Here is a 24,284-nt window from a genome sequence, read left to right as displayed (position 1 = left end):
GTGACAGTAAGAGCACCTGCCTCACAAGGATAATAAGAGAATTCAATAACTAATATCTGTAAAGTGCTTAGACCAGTGCCTGGCACAAAACAACACTATTTGTGACATAAATATATCACTCTACTTCCAACATGTGAAATGGTACTTGGATCTTGAAAGGTGATCAACAAACATGCATTGAATAAATGAATTTGTTTTGTTTTCTCTTCCCAGGTGAGTTTACTATCACATTACAAAGAGACATCTACTTGGAGTTGCTTCAGGAATGATGGGAGTATCTGGGCATATACCTTTTTTTTTTTTTGGAGACAGTGTCTTGCTTGTCACCCAGGCTGTAGTGCAGTGGTGCAATAACTGTTCACTTTAGTCTGTTAGTCTGGTATGTCTGGGCTCAAGTGATCCTCCTGCATCAGCCTCCTGAGTAGCTGGGGCTAAAGGCGAGCACCACCACAGTCAGCTAAATTCATAATTTTCTGTAGAGATAGGGCCTCACTGTGTTGCACAGGCTGGCCTCAAACTCCTGGCCTCAATTAATCCTCCCGCCTCAGTATCCCAAAGTGCTGGGGTTGCAGGTGTGACCCACCACACCTGGTGCAGGTGCATTCCTATTGTCATAAGCAAGAGCACATATCACAGAAGGAGAGGGGGATGGTAAAGATCCCTGACTCACAGGGTTGTGTGACACAGTAAGTAATAAATATTTGGTCTTTGTCCAGGTTCCTGACACAGAACTCCTAAATCCCTTGGAATTTCCCAAGCGATAGGAACATCTTTTGTTCTAAAGAAGTGATTCTTGTTGGGCCCCTAGGTAGCTTCAGGATGGGGGCTGATTAGAGGATTGCACTTTGAGCTCCACCTCATAACCTCCAGGAGGGGAGAGGGGCTAGCTAAGGAGTCAATCACCAATGACCAATGATTAATCAATCATGCCTCTGTAATGAGAACTCCATAAGAATCCCTGCTTCCAGGTGGGGAACACATGGAGGTGCTGGGAGGGTGGAGCACCCAGAGAGGGCATGGAAGCCCTGTGCCCTCCCCCATATCTTGCCCTATGCCTCTCTTCCATTTGGTTCTTCCTGAGTTACATCCTTTGCAATAAACTGGTGACAGTGAGTCAATGGTTTCGCTGAGATCTGTGAGCTGTTCTAGCAAATTAATGAGCCTGAAAAGTGTGTCGTGGGGTTCTGCAAATTTTACCTGGTTAGCCAGAAATGTGGTTGGCCCAAGACTTGCTTTTGGTATCTGAAATGGGGGGTGGTCCTTTGAAACTTAATTCTTCACCCCTGGGTCTGTGCTCACCCTGGGTAGTTAGTGGAGTTGAGTGGATGGTAGGAAACCCAGTGGTTTGGAAAACTGGAGAATTGGCTGGGGGTGGAAAAATCCACCACACATTTGGTGTCAGAAATAGTCTGTGGATAAACAAGTTCAGAGGCTAGAATCTGTGACTTAGGCTATCCATATAAAGTCCGCATATGCTTAAAACATTTTATACTTATGAATTCTCTCTTAAACTACTTTGAGATGTCAGAAAAATTTTCCTCATTTTGCTAACAGAGAAATTAGATACAGAAACATAAAAGTAGTTTTCAAAATAACACTCAGCAGCCTTATTTGATTTTTCTGTAAAACCATAAATAAATTAACAAATGAATTAAGAACATACAAGGCAGTTACCTCCTTAAATTCCATAACCCACTATCTGTTCTTAATACAGACTTGGGTTTTGGTATTTAATTTTTAATTTTTTAATCACTTGATGTTTGAAATTCCCTTCTTTTTGCTTTTTTATATTTTAGAATGGGGGATGAATAATACTGACATAAATGCTAGAAAGAAATGAGACTTGAGGGAGAATGAGTAAGAAGACTGTAGGGGAAATGGTCTTCCTCCTATGCAATTTCTAGTTTGAATTGCTTATTTTGCAATCTGTTCATCCAGTTAATTGTTCATCTCAGCTTTTTTGCCTTCAGTTTATCTCCTCAAGGAGTAAGACAGCATTCTTGCTGCCAAAAATCAATGCATCTTTCATTGGCAACAATAATCGTTGCATAGCTAACGGTTCTTGAATTTAATGGCAGAACACTAAGCTAAATATTTTGGACCATTTACTTGTCATAATAATTCTAGGAATCAGGTACTATTTTTGTCTTTACTTTATAGATGAAGTAGCCTGGGCTGTGAGAAGTCACACGCACAATGTCACAAAGCTTGTTTCTGTATTTTTTTTTTTTTTTTTAAGACAGAGTCTCGTCCTGCTACCCAGGCTGGAGTGCGGTGGTGTGATCTTGGCTCACTGCAAACTCCATCTCCTGGGTTCAAGCAATTCTCCTACTTCAGCCTCCTGAGTAGCTGGGATTACAGGTGTGTACCACCAAGCCTGGCTAATTTTTGTAATTTTAGTAGAGATGGGGTTTCATCATGTTGGCTAGGCTGGTCTCAAACACTTGACCTCAAGTGATCCGCCTGCCTCGGCCTCCCAAAGTACTGGGATTATAGGTGTGAGCCAAGACGCCTGGCCTTGTTTCCATAATTGTTACATGGGCAGATATCACATGATCTGATGTATTATTGGCAGAGAGAGAATTTTTCTGAAGAAACTGATATATGTATCCATGAATGCAGATGCACTTTGGCTGGCTTCTTATAATCCAGGGGTCTTGCTTTGATCCTTATGAGAGAGGCAGAGAGTAGTTTGCAGTGGACCTTTCTTCCAGTTTTAGAGGGCGCTAAGTGTTTTCCTGTCTCTGGATGGCAACTGCCAGGTTAGGTATTTGTTGTGGTTTTATGACAAGGAAATCAATCTGATTACAGCAGTCTATCTGAAGTAAATGAACTCTCATCTCAGTGCCTTAATAAAGCTTCACATCAGGTCATAAAGCAAAACAATAGAAAATCCGCATGGTACATATACATCATGGAATACTATGCAGCCATAAAAAGAAAGGAGATCATGTCCTTTGCAGGGACATGGATGGAGCTGGAAGCCATTATCCTCAGCAAACTAATGCAGGAACAGGAAACCAAACACCATGTTCTCACTTATAAGTGGGAGATGAACAATGAGAACACATAGACACAGAGAGGGGAACGACACACACTGGGGCCTGTTGAAGGAGGATGGGGGAGGGAGAGCATCAGGAAAAATAGCTAATGCGTGCTGGGCTTAATACCAAGGTGATGGGTTGATAGGTTCAGCAAACCACCATGGCACACGTTTACCTATGTAACAGACCTGCACACCCTGAACTTAAAATAAAATTAAAATTATAATTAAAATCCACATGGATTCCTTCCCCTTTCCAGGAACACACCCCTTCTGCTGGAGTTTATTGCCTCATATGTGACTGAGAAGTCTCCTGTGATCTCAACAACCTCATTTTAACTTTTCTCTCTAACAAGGCTGTTCCTTTCTTATTTACCCTATTGCTGTTTAACCTGCTGGGATCTGGCCTAGCTCAAATAACATACATTTCCTCAAGAAGATGACATTTAATTAAATTCCAAGTGACAACATTTTACAAAAAGGATGTTTCATTTATTTTTTTTTTGCAAGTCACTATTTCTCTTTTGTGCAATGAGCTCTTGCTTGTTCAGTGTCTCACTTCCAGGCATCCTGACGCAGATTTAAAACAGTCTAGAAAGAAACAACATGCAAGATTCTATGGCATTTAGAATAATTTATGCAGCCCATCCTCTAGGCTTACAGCCAAATTCCAGGAGGAGAATTTGCTTCACATTCTATCAAGACTCACGCCACAATGAATCCATTTGGAAAGAAAGCTAAATTGCAATTGTACAAAGAAATTCTGGGAAGAAAGCTGAACACGATTCTGCAACCCCCAAATGTTTGTAAAGTTTACCAAAAAAAAATGACAGGGGAATATTTGGTAGACGATCAAAGGCTTTAAGTAAAGTTTGCTGCAGACATTAGAATAATACACGTTAAAAAGGGGTCAATTAACATTTATCAAGAGATGCTGGCATTTCTAAAGTTTATTTACTTTGGGAGACCAAGTACTTCTGTGTGTCTTGAAAGTGATAGCAATTCACAGAAAATAACAGGTGCATTACCGGGTGGAGGCTAGTGTTTCTACCTGTCCTGAAGTTGCAAACTCTTATAGGATTCTCATTGGATTTTCTCTCTTTGACACATTTTAAAAATTTCCAAAATCTACAATTGCCCTATCTTTAGACTTGGAGAAATAGATGTGTAGATGACAGTTATTAACATACCCACTGCCTGGAGCAGGAAAATAGGCACCAGCTGAAGCAGTAGCTTCCTGTCCGCACCTCTAGCTTTTCTCAATTTCTGCATTCTCCTCCTCCTTCCTGTGTTTACTCTACGCTCTATGGTAGTGAAGTGCACATATGAAATCTGGTTCCCCATAAATGGGAGGCCTAACATATAACAAACTAGTTGGTTCCTGTTCTTCCACCAGCTCCTTACATCTCCAAGGCACAAACCAAGCTCCATTGCAGGGTGAATGGACTTGGACCCTGCAGGGCTATGATCTTTAAACACAGAGACAGGGTCATGGGAGCCAATCAGTTTCCTTTATGACTGACATCTTCATAGTTTCCCTGATGACTAAATCAGGTGTTTACCTGCCTCCTCAGAGAGCTCTGAAACACTTCAATATACTCTCAAGTTATCCAAAGGCAGTTTTGCATTCACCCTTTGAAATCTTCTAGCTGTAGACTGTGGACTGCCTAAAATCTTGGAGATTTTGTCTTTCGTTCCTGTCAATCCTGACATTCCGATTCCCTCTAAAGTCTAGTTCTCCCCTTAACAGACATTTGAGTGTCTCCGTGGTGGAGGCTTCACCATGCATCCGGTTCTCAACTCAATGGGAAGCTATTTGATCTTTTCAACTCCTTTCTTGACTGCAGGTTTTCTGAGCTTTGTAATAACCCTAGACACTCCTGAACAAGCATTTTTTAAGTCATTAATTCTGAGTACTAATTAATGGGTTAAGTGCTAATATAAAAAAAGGAAATAAATTTTTAGGCTATTTCAGGAACCACACCTTAAATTCAAACCCCTCCACCCAAATTCCAAGTGATTTAATTAATAAGATGTCTAGAATGACCAGAAGGAAATTGATGAGATATGTCATTTTCTTGTATTATCATCATCTGGAGGAAAGTTAATCTCCACCTGAGGCTGTGTTGGTTGTCTGGGTTGCCTTGGGTGTTTAAAATGAAAAAGGGGGGCAGGAGAATCACTTGAACCTGGGAGGTAGAGGTTGCAGTGAGTCAAGATTGTGCCATTGCACTCCAGCCTGGAAAACAAGAGCAAAACTCCATCTCAGAAAAAAAAAAAAAGGGTTTAGGAGGGTGGACCCAAGATGGCAAAATAGCAACAGCTCCGGTCTACAGCTCCCAGCGTGAGCGACGCAGAAGACGAGTGATTTCTGCATTTCCATCTGAGGTATCGGGTTCATCTCACTAGGGAGTGCCAGTGGGTGCAGGACAGTGGGTGCAGCGCACCATGCACGAGCCACAGCAGGGCGAGGCATTGCCTCACTCGTGAAGTGCAAGGGGTCAGGGAGTTCCCCTTCCTAGTAAAAGAAAGGGGTGACAGACAGCACCTGGAAAATCGGGTCACTCCCACCTTAATACTGTGCTTTTCCAACGGGCTTAAAAAATGGCACACCAGGAGATTATATCCCGCACCTGGCTCAGAGGGGTCCTACGCCCATGGAGTCTCACTGATTGCTAGCACAGCACTATGAGATCAAACTGCAAGGTGGCAGCGAGGCTGGGGGAGGGGCGCCTGCCATCGCCCTGACTTCATTAGGTAAACAAAGCAGCCGGGAAGCTTGAACTGGGTGGAGCCCACCACAGCTCAAGGAGGCCTGCCTGCCTCTGTAGGCTCCACCTCTGGGAGCAGGGCACAGACAAACAAAAAGACAGCAGTAACCACTGCAGACTTAAATGTCCCTGTCTGACAGCTTTGAAGAGAGTAGTGGTTCTCCCAGCACGCAGCTGGAGATCTAAGAATGGGCAGACTGCCTCCTCAAGTGGGTCCTTGACCCCTGAGCAGCCTAACTGGGAGGCACCCCCCAGTAGGGGCAGATTGACACCTCACATGGCTGGGTACTCCTCTGAGACAAAACTTCCAGAGGAACCATCAGGCAGCAGCATTTGCAGTTCACCAAGATCCGCTGTTCTACACCCACCACTGTTCTACAGCCACCGCTGCTGATACCCAGGTAAACATGGTCTGGAGTGGACCTCTAGCAAACTCCAACAGACCTGCAGCTGAGGATCCTGTCTCTTAGAAGGAAAACTAACAAACAGAAAGGACATCCACACCAAAAACCCTTCTGTACGTCACCATCATCAAAGACCAAAAGTAGATAAAGCCACAAAGATGGGGAAAAAACAGAGCAGAAAAACTGGAAACTCTAAAAAGCAGAGCACCTCACCTCCTCCAAAGGAATGCAGCTCCTCACCAGCAACGGAACAAAGCTGGATGGAGAATGTCTTTGACGAGCTGAGAAAAGGCTTCACATGATCAAACTACTCTGAGCTACAGGAGGAAATTCAAACCAATGGCAAAGAAGTTAAAAACTTTGAAAAAAAAATAGACGAATGGATAACTAGAATAACCAATGCAGAGAAGTCCTTAAAGGAGCTGATGGAGCTGAAAGCCAAGGCTCAAGAACTACGTGAAGAATGCAGAAGCCTCAGGAGCTGATGTAATCAACTGGAAGAAAGGGTATCAGTGATGGAAGAGGAAATGAATGAAATGAAGCGAGAAGGGAAGATTAGAGAAAAAAGAATAAAAAGAAATGAACAAAGCCTCCAAGAAATATGGGACTATGTGAAAAGACCAAATCTATGTCTGATTGGTGTATCTGAAAGTGACGGGGAGAATGGAACCAAGTTGGAAAACACTCTGCAGGATATTACCCAGGAGAACTTCCTCAATCTAGCAAGGCAGGCAAACATTCAGATTCAGGAAACACAGAGAACACCACAAAGATACTCCTCGAGAAGAGTAACACCAAGAAACATAATTGTCAGATTCACCAAAGTTAAAATGAAGGAAAAAATGTTAAGGGCAGCCAGAGAGAAAGGTCGGGTTACCCACAAAGGGAAGCCCATCAGACTAACAGCGGATCTCTCAGCAGAAACTCTACAAACCAGAAGAGAGTGGGGACCAATATTCAACATTCTTAAAAAAAAGAATTTTCAACCCAGAATCTCATATCCAGCCAAACTAAGCTTCATAAGTGAAGGAGAAATAAAATACTTTACAGACAAGCAAATGCTGACAGATTTTGTCACCACCAGGCCTGCCCTAAAAGAGCTCCTGAAGGAAGCACTAAACATGGAAAGGAACAACTGCTACCAGCCACTGCAAAAACATGCCAAAATGTAAAGACCATCGAGGCTAAGAAGAAGACTGCATCAACTAATGAGCAAGATAACCAGCTAACATCATAATGACAGGACACAAAACACACATAACAATATTAACTTTAAATGTAAATGGGCTAAATGCTCCAATTAAAAGACACAGACTGGCAAATTGGATAAAGAGTCAAGACCCATTAGTGTCCTATATTCAGGAAAATCATCTCACGTGCAGAGGCACACATAGGCTCAAAATAAAGGGATGGAGGAAGACCTACCAAGCAAATGGAAAACAAAAAAAGGCAAGGGTTGCAATCTTAGTCTCTGATAAAACAGACTTTAAACCAACAAAGATCAAAAGAGACAAAGAAGGCCACTACATAATGCTAAAGGGATCAATTCACCAAGAACAGCTAACTATCCTAAATATATATGGACCCAATACAGGAGAACCCAGATTCATAAAGCAAGTCCTGAGTGACCTACAAAGAGACTTAGACTCCCACACAATAATAATGGGAGACTTTAACACACCACTGTCAACATTAGACAGATCAATGAGACAGAAACTCAACAAGGATACCCAGAAATTGAACTCAGCTCTGCACCAAGCGGACCTAATAGACATCTACACAACTCTCCACCCCAAATCAACAGAATATACATTATTTTCAGTACCACACCACACCTATTTCAAAATTGACCACATAGTTGGAAGTAAAGCACTCCTCAGCAAACGTAAAAGAACAGAAATTATTACAAACTGTCTCTCAGACCACAGTGCAATCAAACTAGAACTCAGGACTAAGAAACTCACTCAAAAGCGCTCAACTACATGGAAACTGAACAACCTGCTCCTGAATGACTACTGGATACATAACAAAATGAAGGTAGAAATAAAGATGTTCTTTGAAACCAATGAGAACAAAGACACAACATACCAGAATCTCTGGGACACATTCAAAGCAGTGTGTAGAGGGAAATTTATAGCACTAAATGCCCACAAGAGAAAGCAGGAAAGATCTAAAATCGACACCGTAACATCACAATTAAAAGAACTAGAAAAGCAAGAGCAAACACATTCAAAAGCTAGCAGAAGGCAAGAAATAATTAAAATCAGACCAGAACTGAAGGAAATAGAGACACAAAAAACCCTTCAAAAAATTAATGAATCCAGGAACTGGTTTTTTGAAAAGATCAACAAAATCGATAGACTGCTAGCAAGACTAATGAAGAAAAGAGAGAAGTATCTAATAGGCGCAATAAAAAATGATAAAGGGGATATCACCACCGATCCCACAGAAATACAAACTACCATCAGAGAATACTACAAACACCTCTACGCAAATAAACTAGAAAATCTAGAAGAAAAGGATAAATTCTTCGACACATACACCCTCCCAAGACTAAACCAGGAAGAAGTTGAATCTCTGAATAGACCAATAACAGGGTCTGAAATTGTGCCAATAATCAATAGCTTACCAACCAAAACAAGTCTAGGATCAGATGGATTCATAGCCGAATTCTACCAGAGGTTCAACAAGGAGCTGGTACCATTCCTTCTGAAACTATTCCAATCAATAGAAAAAGAGGGAATCCTCCCTAACTTATTTTATGAGGCCAGCATCATCCTGATACCAAAGCCTGGCAGAGAAACAACCAAAAAAGAGAATTTTAGACCAATATTCTTGATGAACATTGACGCAAAAATCCTCAATAAAATACTGGCAAACCGAATCCAGCAGCACATCAAAAAGCTTATCCACCATGATCAAGTGGGCTTCATCCCTGGGATGCAAGGCTGGTTCAACATACGCAAATCGATAAATGTAATCCAGCATATAAACAGAACCAAAGACAAAAAACACATGATTATCTCAACTGATGCAGAAAAGGCCTCTGACAAAATTCAACAACCCTTCACGCTAAAAACCCTCAATAAATTAGGTACTGATGGGGTGTATCTCAAAATAATAAGAGCTATCTATGACAAACCCACAGCCAATATCATACTGAATGGGCAAAAACTGGAAGCATTCCCTTTGAAAATGGGCACAAGACAGGGATGCCCTCTCTCACCACTCCTATTCAACATAATGTTGGAAGTTCCAGCCAAGGAAATTAGGCAGGAGAAGGAAATAAAGGGTATTCAATTAGGAAAAGAGGAAGTCAAATTATCCCTGTTTGCAGATGACATGATTGTATATCTAGAAAACCCCATTGTCTCAGCCCAAAATCTCCTTAAGCTGATAAGCAACTTCAGCAAAGTCTCAGGATACAAAATCAATGTACAAAAATCACAAGCATTCTTATACACCAATAACAGACAAACAGAGAGCCAAATCATGAGTGAAATCCCATTCACAATTGCTTCAAAGGGAATAAAATACCTAGGAATCCAACTTACAAGGGATGTGAAGGACCTCTTCAAGGAGAACTACAAACCACTGCTCAATGAAATAAAAGAGGATACAAACAAATGGAAGAACATTCCATGCTCATGGGTAGGAAGAATCAACATCGAGGAAATGGCCATACTGCCCAAGGTAATTTATGGATTCAACGCCATCCCCATCAAGCTACCAATGACTTTCTTCCCAGAATTGGAACAAACTACTTTAAAGTTCATATGGAGCCAAAAAAGAGTCCGCATCGCCAAGTCAATCTTAAGCCAACAGAACAAAGCTGGAGGCATCATGCTACCTGACTTCAAGCTATACTACAAGGCTACAGTAACCAAAACAGCATGGTACTGGTACCAAAACAGAGATATAGATCAATGGAACAGAACAGAGCCCTCAGAAATAATGCCACATATCTACAACCATCTGATCTTTGACAAACCCAACAAAAACAAGCAATGGGGAAACGATTCCCTATTTAATAAATGGTGCTGGGAAAACTGGCTAGCAATATGTAGAAAGCTGAAAATCAATCCCTTCCTTACACCGTATACAAAAATTAATTCAAGATGGATTAAAGACTTACATGTTAGACCTAAAACCATAAAAACCCTAGAAGAAAACCTAGGCAATACCATTCAGGACATAGGCATGGGCAAGGACTTCATGTCTAAAACACCAAAAACAATGGCAACAAAAGCCAAAATTGACAAATGGGATCTAATTAAACTAAAGAGCTTCTGCACAGCAAAAGAAACTACCATCAGAGTGAACAGCCAACCTACAGAATGGGAGACAATTTTTGCAACCTACTCATCTGACAAAGGGCTAATATCCAGAATCTACAATGAACTCAAACAAATTTACAAGGAAAAAACAAACAACCCCATCACAAAGTGGGTGAAGGATATGAACAGACACTTCTCAAAAGAAGACATTTATGCAGCCAAAAAACACATGAAAAAATGCTCACCATCACTGGTCATCAGAGAAATGCAAATCAAAACCACAATGAGATACCATCTCACACCAGTTAGAATGGCGATCGTTAAAAAGTCAGGACACAACAGGTGCTGGAGAGGATGTGGAGAAATAGGAACAGTTTTACACTGTTGGTGGGACTGTAAACTAGTCCAACCATTGTGAAAGTCAATGTGGCGATTTCTCAGGGATCTAGAACTAGAAATACCATTTGACCCAGCCATCCCATTACTGGGTATATACCCAAAGGACTATAAATCATGCTGTTATAAAGACACATGCACAAGTATGTTTATTGCGGCACTATTCACAATAGCAAAGACTTGGAACCAACCTAAATGTCCAACAACGATAGACTGGATTAAGAAAATGTGGCACATATACACCATGGAATACTATACAGCCATAAAAAATGATGAGTTCATGTCCTTTGTAGGGACATGGATGAAACTGGAAACCATCATTCTCAGCAAACTATCGCAATGACAAAAAACCAAACACTGCATTTTCTCACTCATAGGTGGGAATTGAACAATGAGAACACATGGACACAGAAAGGGGAACATCACACTCCAGGGACTGTTGTGGGGTGAGGGGAGTGGGGAGGGATAGCATTAGGTATATCTCCTAATGCTAAATGACGAGTTAAATGGTGCAGCACACCAACATGGCACATGTATACATATGTAACAAACCTGCATATTTTGCACATGTACCCTAAAACTTAAAGTATAATAATAATACTAATAATAAAATGAAAAAGGGAGTTCTTGCATAAAGAGATATGTAAACCTGGGGAGGTCTGGCTGATTTCACATGAAAATCTGTCCAATTGTGTTGTGCCATGACTTTGGGGTAAAGGGAATATATATTTTGCTGGAAGGGGTGACTGCGAGGGGAGAAAGGCAGTGCATATGTGCTGATGGGCTTGGGTTTTTATTAATAGAGGACTGAAGACATGAAGAGGACGATCAGAGAACTAAGAAGGGATAGTCCTCAGGAAGCAGTAGTCAGATTTGAGCAGTTATGTCCAGAACGGCCTCCCAGCTTTCTCCTATGCAATTCATCTATTCCTGTGCTTATGAGGTGATCTTTCTGAAATATTTGGGGTTCTTCAAAGCTACCAAGTGCATCTGTGCTTAGAAGGTAAACTCTAAAGTCATGGAGGTCATCAAGGGTCTAACGCTCTGGCCTCAGTGACTCTCCAGCCTTCCTCTCCTTGCCTGCCTTTTGGATCCCTCTGACACAGCCAGTCCGTTAGCTCCTAGTCCACCTGCTCCCTGGTAAGCATGGGCTGTTGGCTGGGGAAGGCCTACTCACCCTTCAAGACCAAGTTCAAATACCACTTGCTTCATGAAAGCTCCTGGCCTTTTCCACACAGAATTAACTCTTCCCTCCTCTGCCATTACATTGCATTACGTAAAATTTATAGCCTGGGACCTACAGTCCTTGGTTTGCCATATTTATTTAAATGTTTGTCTCCCCGAATGCACTGAAGGCTAATCAGAAGCAAAGATTCTGGCTGAGCACGGTGGTTCATACCTGTAATCCCAGTACTCTGGGAGGCTGGGACGGGAGGATCTCTTGAGCTCAGGAGTCTGATATAGCCTGAGCAACATGGTAGAACACTGTCTCTCCAAAAAAAAAATTTCTTTTAGCTAGCCAGGTACATGCCTGTAGTTTCAGCTACTCAGGAGCCTGAGGAACACCTGAGCTTGGGAAGTTGAGGCTGCAGTGAGCCAGGATCCCACCACTGCACCCTAGCCTGGGCAGCAGTGCAAGACCCTGTCTCAAAAAAAAAAAAAAAAAGATATAAAATAAAAGGAAAGAAAGGAAGGAAGGAAGGAAAAGAAAATCAACAAAAAATTTTTTGTTTTTTGTTTGGTTTTGTTTTTTTGTAACCCTGGTGTCAAGAACACGGACACTTGGGCACATAGCACAGAGTAGTTATTTAATAAATGTTTAATAAAATAAACTGAAGGGGAAAAACTGCAAACTGCATATCAGAAGACTCTGATTCTAAAAATAGTGCTTTGGAAGAGAGAACCTGTGAGGAGAAGATCTGCTCTCTTTATTTATAAGAGATTGATCTATAGCTGATTTAAAAGCTGTGTGATTGTCATTAGCATATTTTCCTTTAACATATATCTGAACAAATGTCTATTGAATTATTTAAAGAAATGGTACACACTAAGTCATTTTTAAGAGCATTGGCCTAATGTTTTTCTATTGTTAGGGAAGATTGCATGATTCACATTAATAATTTTCCTTTTTTTGGCATCATAAAGACAATTCACACCATTTAAAATTGCACTTCTGAATTTACTCCACAATATCAAAGTTTAATCAGTACAGTCCAAAAGATCTATACAGAGGTATGATTCTTAAAAAATTATAATTGAGTTGTACAGAGCCAGTGCTCAGGGAATGCCACTGACAGGAATTCCCGACAGCTCCAGTCATTGTGTGTGCTTCTTGGGCATGGGTTCAGGTCTGTGCGTACTCGGTGTTGTTATAAAGGTAGTCCAAGAGTGGAGGATTGGGAAAAGGGGAAGGAATATTCAGAATTGGAGACATCTTGCTTTACACATTCCACATAAATTACCTGAGGCACACATCCAAAATATCCTGAGAATTAGATACAGCCATTTCCAGTTTGGAAGAAGGACAGAATAATAGAGAACCTTCTGGAACTTATTCAGAAAATCAAAGGAGTTCATAAAGCAAGATTAGTGACAGAGGCAAGAGCTGAACTGAAGTACCTTGACTTATTCCAGCACTAGGATTTAAAGCAGCAGCTAAAATCCCATCTGTCTGATCCAGGAGACTTGAACGCTTGGGCACTGTGGCTGGGAATAGGGGAAAAAGTCTCCATCCCATTGCCCACACACTGTGCAATCCTGAAATCTTTGTTTTCTACAGCTCCCTCTAGCTAGTATCAGTTTCCACATCGGGGTGGGTTTAGAAGCAAAATAACTTTCTATCTTGCCATCAGCCTTGTGCCTCTGAATTCTGCACACAGAATTTCTTCCACAATGGGTAGAACCTTTTGAACACTAATGGAAGAAAGGAAACAAAACGTATGTTGAAAGACAAGGTATTTAAGAAATTAAAACAAAATGCTCATTTACTGTTTTTAATATGTAGTCAAATATGACAGCAGTCTTACACAAATAGCTCCCTCCTCCCCCTTCTAAAATCCCAAATTTGTTGACTCCTACTGTAAGTGAAAAACATGGTTTGCTTCTGAAAATAGCAATCAACAGCAAAAACACAGGTAACATTTGGTCCCCACCAGCTTCCACACCTTTAAAGATAAATTGTGTCACTGAGGCAGTCAATACACTAAATTTCTTATCAAACTATTACTAGGGGAAAAAAATCAGATTTCCCACACACTGTAAGCAGAACCGAAAGAGCTGCAGAGAAACTTGGTTTAAGAAGCTGTGTGAAGAAAACATTAATGACTTATTGCAATTGTAATAATCCCCAGGTAAAAGATGGATGTCAAATTAATGGACTGTAAGGAAATACATTCAAACTTAGGTCATTAATATTACAGTGAACATAATCAGGAAGCTTGCAGAAGTATGTAGCATCTCTGAATTATTGAATTTGAACAAAGGTTTCCAATAGAGGTCACACTCTTTTTGCTCTCAGACACCATTAGTGCAGATTCAGATACAATCATTTTTACATTTGCAGGCTCAGGTACGTTCAACAGAAGGTCACCGAGAAGTATGGGCTGGTTATTTTAGCATGACAGAATGCAGGCTTGGAATTTCTCCTTGACATGGCAGAAGAAATAGGAATGATGCCCAGAGGACTGGAATAAATTCAAAATGCTTGGTTTTCCAAGTTCTATTTTAATAAACTTCGGAAAATTAACCTTTCCCTGAAAGACACGTCCTTGGTTTGGCACACAGGGCTTTCCAAAACAGTGAGAAACGAACTGGCCATGTGCTGCACTCACACACATAGTCATTCTTTTTGCTTGGGGTTGACTAGGTTCATAGGGCCAGATTTTCCTCAGTGTCCTCTTGTAGCAGTGCCGCAGTGAGCTTTGTGATTCTGACAAAGGGTGCCATTATATCCACTTTGAAATGCATTACAAATATTCTGCATGCTGGTGCAACTGGCATAAAATCTGGAAAGCCACCGCCCCCCCCCCCTCCCCCGCCGCAAGAAGTGCCCAATTTCTTCTCTTTTCACACTTCAACATTTCAAATGACTACACACAGAATTACCAGAAACAGTAGTAAATTCCTGGCATTCGAAGTTCCCATGATCCCAGCTGGCATATAAAAAAGACTCTCTCCTTTTTTTCCCCTGAAAATAATGTACTCTCCAGGCACTGTTGAAATGCTTCAAATCAGGCAAATGAGAGATTTGTTTTGACCAATCAATGAAAAGACTTCCCCCTCTTCTCCGTGAGGGCCCCAAGACTGGGTTACGCCATACACAAGATGTCTGTTTCTAAAGAGACTTCACTGATTTCCCTAAAATGATTTTAACATTTCTTTGCAAGTGAAGCTCTGATGTTGCCTAATGTTATTTTCAGAGTAGCCTGCTGCAGGATGCCTAATTTGAGTTTTTATTTCCCTGCTATAAATGTGACAATCTGAGTATGTTTTCATTCAAACCACCTTGAACATGGTGGCTGAGGCTTCACCACAAATGTCCAGAAAATAGCACTGGAGTCTGTCTGAGTCCTGAGATGGTCAAATCTCAGAGAAATCCAGCTCTGGGCCCGGAAAGGAAAGTGCCATCTCTTAACCTTTCCTCAGGAAAATTATTTTATTGATTTTTTTGCCTTATTTTCATGCCTTTTAAGTCAAAGGAAGATAAATGGAAAGTCTCTTTTTGGTCATTCACTAATTCTCTAGGGCAAGTCACATAATTCTCTAGGACAAAGGCCTCCATGATGTTAGGATGAATGCCATAGAAGAGGTATGGGGGGTGATGGCTGCATTTTAGACTAATCATAGGCATATCCTTTGCTTTCTCTATGTCAGGGGTCTCAGCATTGCTTGCAGAATATGTGCCCCAGTGTCTGGATGTCTGAATGACCTAAATTTGAGCTGGTCATCAATGAGTATTTATTAGCACATTGCTCTTAAGAAGTTAATAACTCGGCCAGGCACGGTGGCTCAGGCCTGTAATTCCAGCACTTTGGGAGGCGGAGGTGGGCGGATCACCTGAGGTCGGGAGCTGGGGACCAGCCTGACCAGCATGGAGAAACCCCGTCTCTACTAAAAATACAAAATTAGCCGGCTGTAGTGGCATATGCCTGTAATCCCAGCTACTTGGGCGGCTGAGGCAGGAGAATCGCTTGAACCTGGGAGGCGGAGGTTGCAGTGAGACGAGATCACGCCATTGCACTCCAGCCTGGGTAACAAGAGCAAAACCCCATCTCAAACAACAACTAAAAGAAGTTAATAACTCTGCCTAATAGCACATTTAGATTTTTATTTTTTTTTCCATGAATCATCTCCATTCACTCACTCTTAGGTTTATACTTTCCCCTAAAATTCCCCCATGAAACTTCTAAAATTAGTTTCATGCTATGTATTTGTTTGATAGGCACAGAAGGTTTACAGCTGCATGGTCAGTAAGCGATACTTTGGTCATGAATGTATATATACATATATATTTGCAATGCTGAGAAAAAGAGAGACTGCTGTTAAAAATCAAAATTCTCGTGGAATGAAGAGAAGCCACTGAGATTTTTTTCAACCAGAATGAAAATAAATAAAATATCACTATCTGCCAAATCAAAAGCTTTTATGTTATTCCATTATGAAAGACATTTATTGAGTAATTTGCAAATGTTAATAAGCCTTAGAAACTAGGAAAAGCTGAGTACTAGTTTATGACTTACATTTAATTTTTTTTCCAGCCTTTTATCCTGGGTTTAAAGTAACACAGAATCTTTCAGTGTCAACAGTGAGCTGGAAATTAACCTATAATAACAAGTTTTGAGCATTTTGCTCCTCCAGGCAAAATTTGGTCACTCATAATAAATATATTATGAAGAAGCCAATGATGATGTATTCCATAAACTTGTTATGAAAAACTGACTCCAGAAATTATGTGACTTTACTTGAATAATTACCATTTTACTTCTCTACAATAATCATTGTGAGAGCAGTGGGCATTGGATGGTTGAAAAGTTATTCCAGACAATAATTAGGCAGATGTATTACAATTTAAGTTGAGGCTAGATCAACTTAATCAAAACCTTAAGAAGTAATACCATGTTATGATATGACAATGGTAGAACAGGAAATTATAGACACATTTGAGGCTGGAGTTTTCTGATTTCCCTGATTGTCTTATGTCTGGGATGGTCTAATAAATGACATAACCACCACACACACCTAAAGTGCAAATGCTTTTTTGATACACTGGTGTTTCTGAATACCTCAAAACAGTGATATTAATAATTCAAAACCCAATAGAAATATTGGGTCGAGAAATCAAACTTCAACTGTTGCATCTGGTCAGTAAGACTGCAGTGAACTAGAAAGTATTCTTAGGTCAGGGAGAATTTTGAGTAACTTTTTTTCTCACAGATAAAATTAACAGGTCTACAGCACAGACATGCAGTGATATATTATGTTTCAGACACATTCTTCAGGCAAACAGTTTCTAGTTCCCATTTTAAGTAGAATAGAAAATTGGAGTTGAAAATTGATAGAGTATTGTTGATCCTATCTACTTGTAAAGTCTGGTTTAGGGATGTTATTGTATTATAATGATCGGTTACATGCCTGGACTCTCACTACTGTATATCACAAGTTACTAGCACAGTCACTTGGTTCCAGTAGGTGTTCAATAAATATTTCAGTGAACTGAACAGTTAAATAAATGAACAAATAGGGAGATGAATCAAAGTGCTCTGTAAAATGTAAAATGCTTCACAAACATAAGGTAATAGGAGTATATAAAAGGTAACACCACAGACCTCGCATTATCTGCCCAAAAAACCTTATAAGGACAAAAATGTTGTAATAGTTTGAAGAGCAAATAAAAATTGCAATTATATATGTGGTCAGAAAATCAGCTATATAGATCATTCATTTTCAAATATATTTGGGAAGAAATAAAACAAAGGCAGAAAAATTTTAAATGGCCAAAATAAATTGTATTGCTAACTTAGATGGCCACAGATGGGGGCAGGGGTGGAGAGAGGAGAAATTGAAAACACCACAAAGACCCCGCAATGGCTAGAACTTGAAATCTCTGGATATTGCAACAATAGCAGCCTCCTTAAGTCAGCAAAAAGATAAAGATTGATCCAATGTTCTATATTACAGAACAGAGCAGATTGTCAATATAGCAAATAAAGTTACCGTTGAGTGGACTGCGCTGTCTAAGCTGCTTGGTTGGCCTTAAGTGCCGACAATTAAGAGATGAAGGCAATGAGAACTGAAACAAACATTTAAGTTCAAGACCCAGTTTACTGACACTGGGACTATTACTATATCTCTTTGGGCCTCAGTTTACTTATCTGTAACATTAAGAGGTTGGATTACATGATGTCTCACGATTCTTTTTTTTTATTTAGAGATGGGGTTTTGCTCTGTTGCCCAGGCTGGAGTGCAGTGGCATGATCATAGCTCACAGCAGCCTCTAACTCATGGGCTCAAGCAACTCTTACACTTCAGCCTCCAAAGTAGCTGGGACTACAGGCATGAGAAACCACACTTGGCTAACACACACACACACACACACACACACACACACATAATTGCTATCATCTCTATCAAATATACATATATATTTGATATATATGTATATTTGTGTGTGTGTGTGTGTGTGTGTATATATATATATATATATGTATATTTGATAGAGATGGGTCTCACTATGTTGTCCAGGCTGGATCTGCCATGACTCTGGCATATGACGCTGATAACAAAAGTGGGGTTGGAGGTCGTGAAGTAAAAGCAGCAGTAACTTGGAAAATACCTAAAGAAATACAAACCAAAAGAACATTTCACAGGAGGAAGAAATTAGAACCAGATAATCTAGTTTTCAATTAGTCTTATTTAAATATTAATTTCCTATCATAAACGAAAGCATCTTGAAGCGATCTGTGGATCCTGGCAAAACCTTTCTCAAGTGGGCAATAGACACTAGGGACGTGATCAAATTTATACTCCCTCATGAAGATGTAACATAAGAATCTGTTGCGAAAAACTGATAAATGATACTAACCTTAGAATATGTATCTGGATATTAGCATAATTTAAAATAATTTTATTCCCTTTATATAGTCTGCATGTGCAAAGGTTTACATTAAGTTCCAAATAGTTTTATATTTTAATGCCATAGCTCCTTAGTGTTACAGTGATAAAATAAATATGAAATTATTTATGTTTGAGATAGTGCCTTCTAAATGGAAGCCTCCTTTTGCTGTTAAGTGTAAAATAGGAAATCATAAGAAACTAGAGAAGCTAAGTGGCTCTATGCAATAAAGAACTGAGCCAGTTGAAGGATGTTCATAGGCAATGTTGTGAAAGAGTGGATAAATACATGGGATGGATGTCATGTGGGACAAATACTAAAGGAAATATTCAGATGGGCAGAAAAGAAACTGAAGCAATTTTGCTTTGTGTTTTGAATGCATTCTCTTTTTCTCAAGATACGTGATGAACTGATTACCTTTGAACGCTTTTTGCACTGATGAACTATTCTTCCTTTGAATGCAAATTTGTGCTGGTACTCGACCAAAAGTCGTACTTTATATGGGTTACATTAACATAAGGTTTTTAAGAGTCTGCACATCTGTACATTTAATCAGGTTGCATAATAATCTTGCAAGAAAGACAGGACAAAAATTGTTTTTCTTTTCCAAAATTGCAAATTGAGACTCAAGGAGGTTGAAGTGATTTTCCCAAGATAACACAGTGGGGATTTAAAGCTGTGTCAGCTTGTATTTTTTTCATTACTCCATAGGGCCTCTCTAAAATCAAAAATGCTTGGATATGCCCAAGAGCTACCAAATCTTGTTTCTTTCCTCTTCTTCCCTTTTCTTCAAGGACAACGAATTCAAATGAAACACAGCATTGTCCATTAAAATTTTCTTCAACCACGGAAGTGTTTCTTGTTATCCAATATGGTAGCCACAAGCCAGGCGTGGCTATTGAGCCTTTGAAATGTGGCTGGTGTGACTGAAGAATTACATTTTTAATTTAATTTTAATTAATTTTAATTTCAAAAGCCACGTTGGCTAGTGGATATAATATTGGACAGCACAACTCTAGAAGCTACATATAAGAGATTGGCAAATGCCCTTGATACCTCAAACTAAAATAGTAATTGGGGGTCAATTGCACTTTTAGTTTTCTAGGTGTTAGTATATCTTGAAGTCCAAACCCTTCACACACAAGCCACCATTTATGGTCAGTGCCATCTCTTGGGCTTAAGCCATTTATGCCTGAGGTTGCAATTTTTTGAATTTTTGCAACCAGACCTTGGTGATGACCTTGAGCAGTAGGCTCTAAATAACTCCCATAAGCTTAGCGTTCCAATAATGGAACACTAGACATAAATGGGTCAAGATATTTTTCTTGAGTTTCAGTATCTTTACCTAGTCACTGATTATTATTTTTACAAATAATTAAGCTGAAATAACTAAATTCCTCTGTAGCACCATTTATCTGATTTATCCAGAAGTTTGCATCTCTTTGTTATCTTTTTTTGTTATTCTATTATGTTCATAGTATATTAAGTAATGTACAGTTGCACCTTCTCTAATACATAATTATGTAAAGTCCAAAGCATTGATGACCATTTTGAATTTTCAGAAACTGTATGTTTTCTCACATGGGAACAAGAACAAACCAGAAATATAAAATAGAATGAGAGTTTCATGAAAGAAAAGGATTTAGCCCACATTTCCCCTTACCACTAAAGAATTCACACACCACACACTTCTCACTACCTTTAACTCTTAGTTCTGTTAAGAAGTTTTCCCACACTCCAGTTTCAAGAAGTTTTCTCTATTATTTGTTGCTTTGGTTCACTGAAGAATTCAGTGTTTATGTTTTTTTACAGAATTATCAATTGTTTTGAATCAAAATAGAAAATTGATTCAAAATTGTTTTGAATCAATTGTTTTGAATCAAAATAGAACGCTGAAGGGTATAAGAATAACATTACTACTTGAGAATTAAGTAGTACTTAAGGGACACAAACTAAGAATACACATGCAAGATTTATATAACTGTCAAACAGTTGCTATTGGAAGCCACAGCTACCACAAAAGGTAGTGAAAGAAGCATCATTTTATCCTAAAAGGAAGTCGTCTATGTGTTCCTTATGCATTTGTAGAATACCAGTTGCACCAGTAATATTGGCATGTCATTTGGTTATTGCTGTCTCACCAAACCTGCTCCACAAGAATAAGTGGGGATACTTCACATAAACCATACATAGCTGCTGCAAAGAGATTGTCATCACAATCCTTCAATCACCTTGCTTTTCAAAATTTTTTTTAATAGTTAACTAAGTTAGGAAAAAGTTACCATCTTCATCAAATACTTAAAATTGTAAAGCAAAATATATGGAATAGAAAATGGCATTCGTTCACGTCAGACACTTGTGATGATAAAGTATGGTACTCTGTGAGTGGACTGATGACCAAGGCAGATGTGTACAGATGCTAAACTGTTGGGAAAATGCTGCTTATGAGACATCTCTGCTTCTTGAGACCTGAATCTGCAAATGTTGAGCACTGTACCTTACAAAAGCCAACAGTTTCTTGGCACAGAGTGTAAAAGTTTCATGGGTTAGAATGTTGGTGAAATTGTACACTCAGTACCTGAATTTAAACTTTAGGAGCTCAGTATGTATATTAACCACTTTCCTTCTCAAGGGATGCCATTCCTTTCTTCATTCATGAGGAATTTTCAAAATCAGGATTGTGATTCCAAGGCAATCGATATCTCCATTTAAGGAGCTTTCTGCATCCACTTTATTTAGCCAGAGAGGGAAGGGGTTGACATAAACGAAAAAGTGGATCAAATAGTCAAGAACATGATGGGCGCGGCAATGAACTGAACCACTTTTGCTAAGTGACAGAAAAATATTCTAATATTAAGGATTATTTTACAACTCTATGGAAGTAATGCAGTGATGCATCTTGCATCTGTTTTGCCTTGATGACAAAACGCACTCTTAGAGTCACAAGATCCTGCCTTGTGTTAGTTATAAACAAAAATATATTTATATATATATATTTATGTAACTACTATGTGCTTTAAAGAAAATTACTGTATGATTCAGCAGGGTTTTTTCATTCTTTCTATCGCCATGCTGACGTGAATGGCTTCTTAGACAGGAATCAGCAATGAAATGGGTGTTTAGTACTGAAAAGGCATAAAATTAAAAATAATCATATGTTTAAAATCCCTTAACATTTTTGTTTCAAAAATGATTAAGGAACTCTTCATACTGTTTCCTTTTGTTTCCATCAGCCCAGAGCAACTGTGGTTTCATGGGACTTAACAGTTGGGGATTGGAGGTAAGGCTTCCATAAAGCATAAATCAGATGTTTTCATGCTGAGGCAGGAAAACAGAAAGCCCCGTTTGCCACCCCCTCTTCCCAAATCCTTAGTTAATTGTTCGGAAATTTTGTCACAGCTCATAGAAAGGTCATTCATTACAAAGGAAGAGGCAGACATGGTTTGAACCTCCTGTACGGATAAAAAGATTCGTTCTGTAAAGTGATGAACTTGTTGGTACAGATGGATCTAGACCAGAAAAACAACATCCTTTTGCCACACATCTGTTTTGAAAATGTAGAAAATCTCTTATTTTGTGTTTGTTCTCACTCTTGCATGGGCTGTTTTTCTTAGCAATCTTGAGACATTCATCATTGCTCTTTTGAGTGAAAGGGTTCAGGCTTTGGAAAACAGTTATCTTTGAGACATCAGAGAACATTTGAACCAAAGGTGTCGATCCCTCATGAACTAAAGCTTTATTATGATTTTTTTTTTCTGATCCCTTTGCAACCCTGCACCTAAGCCAAAAGCATTATAATCTTGTCATACTTCAGATAAGTCCACGGGAGATGTTCCGAGTGAACTATAGATGACATTCCACTAGGGAATTCTATGTTCAGTGTAAATGGTATCTTGTATAAGTTTTAGTTTTTTGTTTACCCTTTGTTTCCTGGGCTGAGCTTGTCCAGAAATCTTGTCTTCTTCAGGCTACAGCAGCTTAGAGCTTGTTTGTGTGTGTGTTTGTTTGTTTGTCTTAAAGGTATAGGCAAAATTTTAGTCTTAACACCTGTAAACCAGTACTGGTGTTGTTCTGTCCTAGAAATTTTAGCACTGCTCTGATACAATAAAGCCTTCTTTCTCTCCAACTGGTTCAACTTCAGCATAGGCAGGATGTCCAGAGCCTCTTCTAAACTTCATCGCAGGCCATCTGCTTGGGCGTCTCTGAAACAGAAAACACAAAAATAAAAAATGTGCGTCAGGGTAAGATTCTAGCACCAGAAAAATCTATTTGCTAGCTATTTTAGATTAAATGTTGAATTAATTAACACATTAAATTATCTCTTATTATAGCTACAGTCAGAATTAAGAATTCCCCTTATCAACCCTCCAAGCCCTGTGCTTGCATTTCCAAGATGGCGCTATCTACCCCTGTCACAGGAAAGACCATTTGTCACACCTGCCCTCAAAGGATTCAGAGCTTCTCCCAAGCAAGGTTTAATGCCTTATGCATATGTCTGAAATGCTCAAATATAACTAGGCAAAAAGGAACTGTAATAGAAAATATTTTTTAATATATGGGCACAGACACTCTCTCTTCTCTACAAGTCAATACTGATATCACTTCATTTTGTTCATTAATTCACTCAAAAACTAAGGTCAAAAAATTCTGCTGTTCCTAGAAGGGTATTTTCAATTAGGCACCAGACTTCCTAGCAAATAAGCTAAAAGAAATATCACTTAATATCTTAAGAAATTATTTATTTAGTTAAGCATACCCATCTATGATTTCTTTGTGCTTGAAAATTAAAGCTGTTATATCCTAAAAATGGAATCTATTATCAGAGGGTGTGGCCAATCGTGAGCTTATGAAACAAATATTGTACAATAGACACTAGTCCTAAAATACAGGTTATTTGTATTGACAAAAAGAGAGCATTTCTTCTCAGCACTCCATCCATCAAACAAACCTGTGATTTACAAATAGATGTACTGAAATGAATTACTGGGTTATCAAAGCAAAAGACACTAAAATGCATTTCACAGCCATAGTGACACTAGAAACTATTACTCCATTTTTCAAAGTGCCTGCAATTTTGGGCTAAATAAGATGATAAATATTGAAGGAAGTTCATTTCTATCTAAAGAATTCTAATGTAAAACAGGTTATATGTCAGTGTACATATACTGGCATTTGGTATCTTTCTAGATTTTCCAATTACATGCCAATGTCGATGGTTAATGGCTGTGAAAGTTTTTCACATCAGGTAGGGATGACTATTAGCTCTATATTGTGTAAAAAAAA

At 39.3% G+C, this 24,284-nt stretch overlaps 1 protein-coding gene across 2 annotated transcripts in view; it reads right to left on the bottom strand.

Annotated features, from left to right (window-relative positions):
* Nucleotides 1–13,049: 13,049 nt before the first annotated feature.
* The window catches only part of PLXDC2 (plexin domain containing 2), a 473,425-nt gene continuing 462,190 nt past the window's right edge, over nucleotides 13,050–24,284 (bottom strand). For both annotated transcript variants that reach the window (NM_032812.9, NM_001282736.2), the window contains one exon: nucleotides 13,050–23,203. In NM_032812.9, the coding sequence (NP_116201.7) occupies nucleotides 23,087–23,203 (117 nt within the window). In that variant the 3' untranslated portion in view covers nucleotides 13,050–23,086. The remainder of the gene's footprint in view (nucleotides 23,204–24,284) is intronic.

The sequence above is a fragment of the Homo sapiens genome, chromosome 10, assembly GCF_000001405.40.
Source record: "Homo sapiens chromosome 10, GRCh38.p14 Primary Assembly".
Classification (NCBI taxonomy): Eukaryota; Metazoa; Chordata; class Mammalia; order Primates; family Hominidae; genus Homo; species Homo sapiens.
Note: the sequence above shows the minus strand (reverse complement) of the source record. Positions and strands in the feature narration are given on the sequence as shown.